Genomic DNA, 12,494 nt, shown 5'->3' with positions numbered 1-12,494 from the left:
GGTACAGGTATCCCTTTGATAATGCTGACTTCCTTTCCTTTGGATGAACATCCAGTAGTGGAATTGTTAAATCATATGGTAGTGCTTTTTCTTTAGTTTTTTTTTTTGGGGGGGAAATCACTATGCTATTTTCTATAGTGGCTGAACTAATTTACATTCTCACCAATAGTGTATAAGAATTTCCTTTTCTCCACATTCTTGCCAGCATCGTTATCGTTATTTCTTGTCTTTTTAATAACAACCATTCTAACTTGGGTAAGATGAAATCTAATCGTGGTTTTGATTTGCATTTCCCTGATGATTAGTGATGCTGAACACTCTTTTTTGTTTGTTTTTTTTTTGAGACGGAGTCTCGCTCTGTCGCCCAGGCTGAAGTGCAGTGGCGCAATCTCGGCTGGCTGCAAGCTCCGCCTCCTAGGTTCACGCCATTCTCCTGCCTCAGCCTCTCGAGTAGCTGGGACTACAGGCGCCTGCCACCACGCCCGGCTAATTTTTTTCTATTTTTGAATAGAGACGGGGTTTCAACGTGTTAGCCAGGATGGTCTTGATCTCCTGACCTCGTGATCCTCCCTCCTTAGCCTCCCAAAATGTTGGGATTACAGGCATGAGCCACCGTGCCCGGCCTGAACATTCTTTTATATACCTGTTGGCCACTTGAATGTCTTTTTTTGAGAAATGTCTATTGATATCCTTTGACCATTAAAAATGGGATTATTTGTTTCGAACAGCTGTTGAGTTGTTTCAGTTCCTTGCATATTCTAGACATTAGTTCCTTGTCAACTGAATAATTTGCAAATATTTTCTCCAATTCAACAACTTGTCTCTTCACTCTGTGGATTGTTTCGTTTGCTGTGCAGAAGCTTTTTAGTTTAATATAGTCCCATTTGTCTATTTCTGTTTTGGTTACCTGTGCTTTTAAAGTCTTAGCCATAAAATCTTCGCTTAGACCAATGTCTTGAAGCATTTACCCTATGTTTTCTTGTAGTAGTTTTATAGTTTTGGGTCTTATGTTTAAGTCTTTACTCCATTTTGAGCTGAATTTTGTATATGGTGAGAGAAAGGGGTCCAGTTTCATTCTCCTGCATATGGATACCTAATTTCCCCAGTACTATTTATTAAAGAGACCATCGTTTCCCCAAGGTATATTCTTGGTAACTTTGTTGAAAATCGGTTTGCTGTAAAAGCATAAATTTAATTCTGGATTCTCTATTTTGTTCCGCTGGTATATGTATCTTTTTATACCAATATTATGTTATTTTAGTTACTATAGTAACTTATTTTAAAGTCAGGGAGTGTGATGCCTCCAACTTTGTTCTTTTTGCTCAGGATTGCTTTGGCTTTTGGGGCTCTTTCTTGGTTCCATACATATTTTAGGATTATTTTTCTATTTCTGTAAAAAACTTACACTGGCATTTTGATAGGGATTGCATTAAATATGTAGATTCCTTTAGGGAGTATGGACATTTTAGCAATATTCTTCCCATTCATGATCATGGGAAGTCTTTCCATTGTTTATTGTTTCAATTTATTTCATCAGTGTTTTGTAGTTTTTCTTGAGAGGCTTTTTACCTCATTGTTAAACTTATTCCTAGGTATTATTTGTTGGTAGTTATTGTAAATGGGATTACCTTCTTTATTTCTTTTTCAGCTAGCTCATTAATGATGTATAGAAATACTACTGATTTTGTATGTTGATTTTATATTCTGCAACTTTACTGAATTTATCAGATCTAAGAGCTTTTTGGTGGAGTCTTCAGTTTTTCTAGATGTAAGATCATGCCATCTGCAAAAAGGAACAGTTTGAATTTCTTTTTTCCAATTTGAATGCTTTTTTATGTCTTTCCCTTGCCTGATTGCTCTGGCTAGGACTTCCAATACTATGTGAATAGGAGTGGTGAAAGTGGGCATCCTTGTCCTTGTTCCAGTTCTTAGAGGAAAGGCTTTCAGCTTTTCCCCATTCAGTATGATGTTAGCTATGGGTTTTTCTTTTCTTTTCTTTTTTTTTTTTTTGAGACAGGGTCTCGCTGTGTCACCCAGGCTGGAGTGCAGTGGAGCAATCTTGGCTCACTGCAACCTCCACCTACAGGGTTCAAGCGATTCTCACACCTCAACCTCCTGAGTAGCTGGGATTACAGGCATGCGCCACCACCCCAGCTACTTTTTTTATTTTTAGTAGAGACAGGGTTTCACCATGTTGGCTAGGCTGGGATTTTTCATATATGACCTTTATTATGTTAAAGTATGCTCCATCTATGCCTTATCATAGTTTTTATCATAAAGGGATGTTGAATCTTATCAAATGATTTTTCTGTACCAATTGAGATGATCATGTAGTTTTTGTCCTTCATTCTCTTGATGCGATATGTTTTTATTGATTTGTATATGTTGACCTATCCTTGCATCCTGGAGGTAAATCCCACTTGATTATGGTATATTATACTTTTGATGTGCTATTGGATTTGGTTTGCTAGTATTTTGTTTAGGATTCTTTTCCTCTATGTTCATCAGGGTTATTTGCCTGTAGTTTTCTCTTTTTGTTGTATCCTTGCTTTTTTTTGATACCGGGGTAATGCTGGTCTCATAGAATGAGCTAGGGAGAATTCCCTCCTCTTCTATTGTTTGGAATAGTTTGAAGATAATTGGTTTTAGTTCTTTTTGGAAGTTTGGCAGAATTTGTCAGTGAAGCCATCTGGTGCTGGGCTTTTCTTTGTTGGAACACTTTTAATTTCGTTTCTCTTGGAGATCTTTTACTGAATAATTATTGTGTTCCTTTGATGGCATCATGTTTCCTTGATTTTTCATGTTGGTCTGTTCAGGTTTTCTATTTCTTTCTGGTTCCATCTTGGTAGGTTGTATGTGTCTAGTAATTTATCTATTTCTTCTAGGGTTTCTAGTTTGTTGGTGTATGTAGTATGTAGTTGTTCAGATAGTCTCTGATGATCTTTTGTATTTCTATTTTTTATTTTGTTTATTTCAGTCTTCTCTTTTTCTTTGTTAGTCTAGTAGTGGTTTACTGATTTTGTTTATCTTTCAGAAAACCAACCATTCATTTTGTTGATTCTTTGTGTTTTTATTTTTTTAAGTCTCTATTTCATGTAGTTCTGCTCTGATCTTTCTTTCCTTCTGCTAATTTTGGGTTTGTTTTTTTTCTTGCTTTTCTAGTTCCTTAAGGGCATTGTTAGGTTATTTATTTGAAATCTTTCTACCTTTTTGGTGTAGGTGTTTATCACTATAAAGTTCTCTTTTAGCACTGCTTTTGCTGTCTTCCATAGATTTTGGTTCGTTGTGCTTCTATTTTCATTTGTTTCAAGAAATTTTTTTTATTTCCTCACTACTTTCTTCATTGACCCAGTGGTTGTTCAGAGGTATGTTTAGTTTCCATGTATTTGTACAGTTTCTGAAGTTCCTCTTGTTATTGATTTCTAGTTTTATTTCATTGTGGTCTGAGAAAATACTTGATATGATTTCAAATTTTAAAAAAATTTTTGAGACTTGTTTTGTGGCCTAACATATGGTCTACCCTGGAGAATGCTCTGTGTGCTAATGAGGAGAATATGTAGTCTGTGGCAGTTAAACTATTCTGTAAATGTCTGCCAGGTCTTTTGGTCTAAGGTCCAATTTAAATCCAATGTTTCCTTGTTAATTCTGTCTAGATGATCTGTCTATTGCTGAGAGTAAGGTGTCAAAGTCCCCAGCTATTTTCGTATTGGGGTGAATCTCTCCCTATAAATCTAATAATACTTGCTCAATGTACCTGGGTGGTCCAGTATTGGGTACATAGAATTGTTATGAGTTTAGTCTGTTTACATTCAAGGTTATTGATATGTGAATGCTTATTCCTGTCATTTTATTGATTACTGGTTGTTTTGTATATCATTTGTTTCTTTTTTTCCAATCTTCTTGTTTATTATTGCGTTTTGGTCATTTTCCATAGTGGTACCATTTGAATCTTTTCTTTTCCTTATTTGTTGGTTTGCTCTACCAGTGAGTGGGTTTTATACTTTTGTGTGTTTTCATGATAGTGGAATTTGTCCTTTTACTTCAAGGTGTAGGACTGTATTAAACATTTCTTGTAGGGTTGGTCTGTAGTGATGAATTCAGCTTTTGCTTGTCTGGGAAATACTTTATTTATTCTGAGTATAGTCTTCTTCCCTGGCAGCTTCTTTTTTTCATTCAGCATTTTGAACATATATCATTCTCTTATGGCTTGTAAAGTTTCTGCTGAGAAAACCACTGTTATTCTAATGGGGTTCCTTATAAGTGACTAGGCACTTTTATTTTGATGTATTTAGAATTCTCACTTTGTCTTTGACTTTTGACAGTCTGATTATAATGTGCCACGGGGAAGATCTTTTTGAATTGCATCTATTTGAGGATCTCTGAGCTTCCCTGTATCTAGCTGTCTAAATCTCTTGCAAGACTATGTAACTTTTCAGCTACTATTTTGTTAAATCAGTTTTCTATCCATTTGGTTGTTCTCTTTGCCTTCTGGGACACCAAAAAATTGAATATGTGGTCACTTTATGGTGTCCCATATAAGATATAGGCTTCGTTCATTCTTTTTTATTCTTTATTTCTGTCTGACTGTATTGTTTCAAAAGACCTATCTTTGAGTTCAGAAATTCTTTCTTCTGCTTTACCTAGTCTACTGTTGAAACTTTTGAATGCATTTTTATTTCATTAATGAGTTTTTCAGTTCCAGACTTTCTGTTTGGTTCTTTTTTATGATATCTAGCTCTTTGGTAAATTTCTCATTCATATCCTGAATTGTTTTTCTGATTTCTTTGTATTATTTGTCTTGTTCTTTTACATATCACTGAATTTCTTTAATATCATTATTTTGAATTCTTTTTCAGACATTTCATAGATTTCCTTTTCTTTGGGATCTGTTATTGGAGAATGACTATGTCCCTTTGAAGGTGTCATGTTTCCTGGCTCTTTCATGTTTCTTTTGTCCTTACACAAGATATCTATGCATCTGATATAATAATCACTTTTTTGAATTTTATGGATTGGCTTTTTCAGGAAAAGACTTTTCCTGTAGGTATATCTATAGTGTTGGTTAAGTATGGTACTTTGGCTTTGATTCTGGGTAGCAGTAGTATAGTCTCCATATGACTTCTTCAACTGGAATCAGCATCAGTGGTGTTTGAGTTCCTTAGTGGTTTAGGCTGTGCATGTTAGTGGAGGCTGTGATGGCATTTTGGTGGGATGGGGATGCCAGGTTGGCTAATGTTTGAGCACTAGTAGTGGTGGCAGGCCTGGTGTGCTGGTCTTTAGTCTCCTGGCCAGTGTATGCTGGCATCAGTGGTAGCAGGTTTGAGTAGGCCAGTTCTTGGACTTCCAGGCAGGTTGCTTGGGTGCTGCCAGTGACACCAGTGGGCCAAGCAGGCAAATGAGTGGGTTCTTGTGCCCTTGGGTGGTGTTCATGGTGTTGGCTATGGCAGGAGTGGCAGTGGGCTAGACTTCATGCCCTGAGTGACATGTGTGGGTGCCAGCAGTGGCACTGGTATGGTGGGCAGGCCAGTCTCCAGGTAAGGGGGTGCTGGTGGCAGTGGTGGTGGCAGGCTGTGCAAGCTAGTCCTTGGGCCCCAGGAATGTGCATCTAGTTGGTGGCATCAGATAGGATAGGTCCATTCTCAGGCCCCCAGAAGGTATGTGCTGGCACCAGTGGTTGCAGGTGGAATAGGCCTATTCTCCAGCCTTCTGATGGTGCATGTGGGTACGTGTGGTGGTAAGTGGGATGGATAGATCCTAAGGGCCCTGAATAACATTCATGGGCACTGGCAGTAGTGGTAGTGGGTGAGGCATGCTTGTCATCATGCTCCCTGATGGTGTGTGTGGGTGCCAGCTTCAGTGGCGGAATGAATCAATCCCCAGCTCCTCAGATCGTATGCTGGGGTTGCAGTGGTGGTGGCAATGAACCAGGCAAGTCTATCCTCAGGCCCCTGGATGGCATGCATGGTCACCACTGCTGAAGGCTGTGAGTGGCATTGGCCTGTCCTCAGGCTTCCCTATGGTGCACATAGGTACAGGCTGCAGTGGGTGGGGTGGATTGATTCTCAGGACCCTGGTTGTCATGCTCAAAGAAACTTCTTCTTTGATTCATGGGTTATTTAGAAGTATATTGTTTAATTTCCAAATATTTGATGATTTTCTGGATGTTATTCTGTTTTTGATTTCTAGTTTAATTGAGCTATGTTTAGAGAACATATATTGTATAATTTCTATTTCTTTCAGATTTGTCAAGGTTTGTTTTATGGCACAGAAGATAGTCTGTCTTGATGAATATTCCATGTGTACTTGAGAAAAGTGTGTATCCTGCTGTTCTTGGATTGATCTATAAATGTCAGCTAGGTCAAGTTGGTTAACTGTATTGCTCAACTCTTCTATATCCTTACTTATTTTTTGTCTACTTTGTCTACCAATTTCTGAAAGAAGAGTGTTGGCAACTTCAAATATAATTGTGGATTTGTCTGTTTCTCCTTTAGGTATTTTTATCTTATTTGCACATTTTTATTTTTTTTAAGAGACAGGTTCTCACTTTGTCACTCAGGCTGGAGTGTAGTGCCACAATCATATCTCACAGCAACCTCAAATTCCTAGGCTCTGGCAGTCCTCCTGCCTCAGCCTCTCAAGTAGCTAAAAGTACAGGTGTGTGACACCATGCCTGGCTAATTTTTAAGAATTTTTTTGTAGAGACAGGGTCTGGCTATGTTGCCCAGGCTGGTCTCAAACACCTGGTCTTAAGCAATCTTCCCACCTTGGCCTCCCAAAGTGCTGGGATTACAGGGGCGAGCCACTACATCTGGCCTAGGTATTTTTAAATCCTGTTATTAGGTAAATATGTCTTTAGGATTGTTATGTCTCTGTAGAAAATTGACCGTTTTATTCTTAAGTATTGTTCCACTTTATCCTCTATAATATTCCTTATCCTTAAGTCTACTTTTCTCGATATCAATATGGCTTCCCCAGCTTTCTTTTTATTAGTGTTTGTATGCCATCTATATTTCCATTCTTTTACTTTTAACCTATCAGTTAATTTATATTTAAAGTTGGTTTATCATAGACATCATGTAGTTGGGTCTTGCTTTGACTTTTATCTAGTTGAATAATCTCTGTCTTTTTATTGGTGTGTTTAGATAGTTCACAGTTAATGTCATTGCCAATATGGCTAATTTTAAATCTACCATTTTGCTAAATGTTTCTTGTTTGTATCATTTATTATTTTTCTCTTATTTTTGATTGATTGCATTTTATGACTCCCTTTCATCTCCACTATTGGTTTGCTATTTATATCACTTTTAAGAATCCTTTTTGGCCAGATGCGGTGGCTCACGCCTGTAATCCCAGCACTTTGGGAGGCCAAGGTGGGTGGATCACAAGGTCAGGAGATCGAGACCATCCTGGATAGCATGATGAAACTCCGTCTCTACTAAAAAATACAAGAAATTGGCCAGGCGTGGTGGCGGGCACCTGTAGTCCCAGTTACTCTGGAGGCTGAGGCAGGAGAATGGCGTGAACCCAGGAGGCGGAGCTTGCAGTGAGCCGAGATCGCGCTACTGCACTCCAGCCTGGGCGACAGAGTGAGATTCCGTCTCAAAAAAAAAAAAATCCTTTTTTGTTGTTGCCCTAGGATTTACAATGTACATATTTAATTAATCAGAGTTAAAATAGTATTATACCATTTTACCTGTGGTATAAGGATCTTATAACTGTATATTCCCAATTCCTCATCTTATCTTTTGTATCATTGTTGTCATATATTTTACTTTTATGTGTCCTTTTTTGTTGTCATATATTTTAATTTTATGTGTGCTTTAAATGCACAAAATGTTACTATTATTTTTGCTTTTTGTAGTTACATTTTAGTATACTACAGTTGAGTAGTTGTCACAAAGACTGTATGAACCACAATGCATAAAATATTTACAATCTGACTCTTCCTAGAAAAAAGTTTATTCATCTCTGTTCTAATTATAAGTAAAGCAAATAAAATTTATATTTTCTTCATTTATTCTACATCCAGTGCGCATCATTTCTTTGTGTAGATCCAAATTTCTGTCTGGTGTTATACGTTTTCTACTAAAAAATTTCCTTTAACATTTGTTTTAGTGAAGATCTAATGGCAATAATTCGGCTCAGCTTTTGTTTGTATGAAAATACCTTTATTTCCTCTTTTTTCTTCTTCCTCTGAGTTTAGAATTCTTAATTGACAGTGGGTTTTTTATCTGTTTTTGTTTGTTTTGTTTTCCAGCCCTTTAAAGACATCAGTGCATTATCTTTTGGCTTCCATGGTTTCTGGTGAGAAGTCTGCTCTAATTCTTGTCTTTGTTTCTCTATACTTTATGTGCTGCTTTCAAAATTTTTTTTCTTTGTCATGGTTTTTCAGCAGTTTGGTGTCCTACTTGGTATTTTCCAAGCTTTTTGGATATGTGATTTAGAGTCTATCATTCATTTTAATTAGACTATTTGATAATATTCTATAGCTCCTGTTTTCTCTATTTTTTTCTTTGTGTTTTTGTTTGAGTTATTTATATGGACTTATCTTGGTTCCCTTTTTTCTTTGTCTCAGTTGTGTCAAGTCTACTGATGAGCATGTGGGAGGCATTCTTCATCTACGATTGTGTTTCTATTTCTAGCATTTCTACTTGATTCTTTTTTACAGTTTTCATCTCTCCACTAACATTACGCATCTGACCTTGTGTATTATCCTCTCTTCCATTATCGTCATTGACATTTTAATCAGTGTGTTGTATTTTCTTGATATTTGTTTCCTGTTTGTTTCACTTGTTCTTTGTTCCCTCTTGCTTTTTGTTGCTTTCTTTTGAATTTTACTTATGATTCTACATTTTCATTTTTAATTTCCTTAATTGTGTATTAACTATAATTCTTTGTTTTTTTAGCAGTTGCTTTAGGATTTGTAATATACTTAAATAGTTAACTTAGCACAGTTTACCTTCAAGTAACATTGTTCTGCTTTACATATGCTATAAGAACAATAGCATATGTCCAGCTTTCACCTTCTGGCCTTTATGCTATATTTGTCATACCTTTTTCTTCTACCTATATTATAATTCTCACGCTATATTTATTATTGTTTTTTCTTTAACTTTGAGATTGGCAATTTAAGGCCCAATGACCAAACCTGCCTGCAAACTGTTTTGGTAAATAAAATTTTACTGTAACACAGCTATATCAATTTATTCACATATTTTAATGAATGCTTTTATGATATAACAGTACAGTTGAGTAGTTGTCACAAAAACTGTGTGAACCACAGTGCATAAAATATTTACAATCTGGCTCTTCCTAGAAAAAAAGTTTATTTATCTTTGTTCTAAATAGCCAATTATTTTTAAAAGGCATCCCAATAATAATAAATAAATCCTAAGCCAGTCTCTGTTACTCAAGTCTACAATCCCAGTGCTTTGGGCGACAGAGGCAGAGGGATTGCTTGAGGCCAGGAGTTGGAGACCAGCCTGAGCAACATAGCGAGATCCTGTTTCTACAAAAAATTTAAAAATTAACCATTTAAAAAATGGTGGTACGTACCTGTAGTCACAGCTACTTGAGAGGCTGAGGAAGTAGGATTGCTTGAGCCCAGGAGTTTGAGGCTATGATCACCACTGCACTCTAACCTGGGTGACAGAGTGAGACCCTATCTCTAGAAATAAATTTTTAAAATAAAAATAATATAAAAAAAGAAATAAATCATATTTACCCATGTAGTTATTTCAAATGTTTTTCATTCCTTTGTGTAGATACATATTTCTATCTGGTATCATTTTCCTTGTGACTGAAAGATTTTCTTAACATTTCTTGTTGTGCAGATCTGATAACAATGGATCAGCCACTGTACATCTAAAAAAGTATTTCATCTTCACTTTTAAAAAATATTTTTTACTGTTGTGTAAAATTCTATGTTGACAATTATTTTTTCAGTACTTTAGAGATGTTGCTCCATTATCTTCTCATTTGCATTATTTCTGATGAAAAATATGGTTTCATCCTAATATTTGCTCCTGTGTATGTCATAATTTTTTTCTTTGGCTGATTTTAAGGTTTTTTAAAACTCAGATTTTGAGCAATTTCATAATAATATTCCATGGTGTAATTTTCTTTATGCTTCTTGTCCTTGGGGTTGGTTGAGCTTCCTGGGCCTGTGGGTCTATAGTTTTCAACAAATTTGTAAAATTTTCAGTGATTATTTCTTATATTACTTCTATCTACCTTTGAGGATTGGATTCCAATTATACATATAGCAGACATTTGAATTTGCCCACAACTCATGGGTGTTCTGTTTATTTATTTATTTTAATTCCCTACTCCTCTGTGTGTTTTATTTTAGATAGTTTCTATTGGTGTGTCTTTTAGTTCACTTACCTTTTCTTCTGCAATGTCTAATCTGACATCAATCCCACATAATGTATTTTCATCTCTAAAAGATTATTGTATGTCTTTTAAAAATATCTTCCATGCTTCCACTTAACATGATTAGTCTTTCCTCTATCTTTTTGACCGTTATATATATTATTATATTATAAATGTAATATTTATGGTAAGATCTTTGTCTACTAATTCTATCACTGCTGTCAGTTTTGAGTTGAGTTTTATTGTTTTATTTATCTCCTCATTGTGGGTCACCTATTCCTGCTGCTTTGCATGCCTGGTAATTTTTTATTAAATACCTGACATTGTGAATTTTACTTTTTTGGCTGCTCGTTATTTTTGCATTCCCATAGGTGTTGTAGAGTTTTGTCCTGGAATGGTTAAGTTATGATGGTTAAGTTATTTAGAAATAGTTTGATTTTTTTGGGTCTTGCTTTTAAACTTTGTTAATACAGTTCAGGACCATATTTCATGGAGAGCAATTTTAATCCAACTATTGAGGCAAGGCTCTTCTAAGTACTTTTAGTTGGTAGAGTTCTAAGATAATCCCTGTATTTTCCCCTGGGTATTAACATGACTTTTTTAAATGACTTTTTTTCCACATGGCTGGAAAAAGAGATTTTGCACATGTAACTAATATTATTAATCAGTTGATTTTTAAGATAAGGAGATTATCTTGTGGGCCTAGGCTGTATTTTAAAAAGCAGATTCTGTTCTCTGGACGATTGCAGAAGAGTAGGTCAAATATTCTAAACACCAGGGAGACTTGAGGTGTCATTGCCTTGAATGTGAAAGGGGTCACGGGGAAAGAATCTGAGAGCTGAGAGTGGCCTCTAGGAGTGAGAGCAATCCATGACCAATGGCCAAAAGAAAATAGGGACTTCATTCTTACAGCCACAAGAAATTGAGTTCTGTCAATAACAAGAATGAATGCAGAAAGAGTCTTCTCCAGAGCCTCCAGACAAGAGCCCAACTTAACTGACAGCTTGATTTAGACCTTGAACAGAGAATCTTGTCAAACTTGCCTAAACTATTGATCTGCAGAACTGTGAAATAATAAATGGGGTATTGTTTTTAAGCTGCTAAATTCATGGTTCATTGTTACACAGCAATAGAAAACTAATATGGTAGTTTATCCTATATCCTGTGTGTTACAGGATTTTCCATTCTATCTAATGGAAACAGGCACTTTTCCCTGTCCTGCATAAACTGTGAGTTTCTATTCTCTAATAGTTTTGGATGGTTCTTTCCCTGGCCTCTGGTAGTTTCCTCATATACCTGTATTGGTCAGTACTCAGTTGAACATGCAAAGGGGTCCTTCTGAAGATCTTCAGAGTCTTCTCTATGCGCAGCCCTCTTTTCTGGCACTCTGCCCTGGAGAGCAGCCTCCTCATACTTTTAGCCTTGTCACCTCAACTCAGGGAGACTACCAAGCTCTACCTGGGTTCTCTCTTCAGGTGCTGCAGCCTAAAATCTCCTTCCAGGAAGTAAGCTGGTGATGGTAGGGCTCACTTCACTTGTTTTGTATTTCTCAGGGATTTCTGTCCTTTGTTGCCTCACATCCTACATCTTGAGAACCATTATTTTATATATTTTGTCTAGTTTTTGGTTGTTTCTGGAGGGATGATACATTCTATCCCTGTTACTCTATCTTGGCCAGAAGCAAAAGCCCTCAGTTAAATGTGACCGGAATCAAGTACTGTTTAAAACCAAAGTTTGAGGTTTAAAATACTCAGAAATGCCCTCTACCAATGTGGTATCAGCATCCTCTGTTTATATTACAGATTGAGGATAGCATGTTAATTACAACAATTCCCCCACCAATTTTTTTTATATAGGTAGAAATTAAAATCTTAAAACAAAAAGTCTAGTACAGTCAAACCCTAATCTAGATTTGTTGCATTCTGAAGGTGCAGTAGATTAGATCACCTGAAAGTTGTTCGTTTCTTTAAAGTTCAATTTTCCTATACCATTTTTGGAATGGGACTGATATTCATTTTCCGAAGTGGGGATCCGCAGTGATCTCATCTTCTTTTATGCTAAGGGAGTACTTTCTTTTTATTATTCATATGGTAATATCAGCTCTTAAAAAGAGATGCCCT

General features: G+C 36.3%; 1 long non-coding RNA gene across 3 annotated transcripts in view; it reads left to right on the top strand.

Moving 5' to 3' along the window:
- Positions 1-12,494, top strand: part of LOC105379013 (uncharacterized) — a 406,546-nt gene that overhangs the window by 216,066 nt on the left and 177,986 nt on the right. The window lies entirely within an intron of this gene.

Source organism: Homo sapiens, chromosome 5 (genome assembly GCF_000001405.40).
Source record: "Homo sapiens chromosome 5, GRCh38.p14 Primary Assembly".
Classification (NCBI taxonomy): Eukaryota; Metazoa; Chordata; class Mammalia; order Primates; family Hominidae; genus Homo; species Homo sapiens.
Note: the sequence above shows the minus strand (reverse complement) of the source record. Positions and strands in the feature narration are given on the sequence as shown.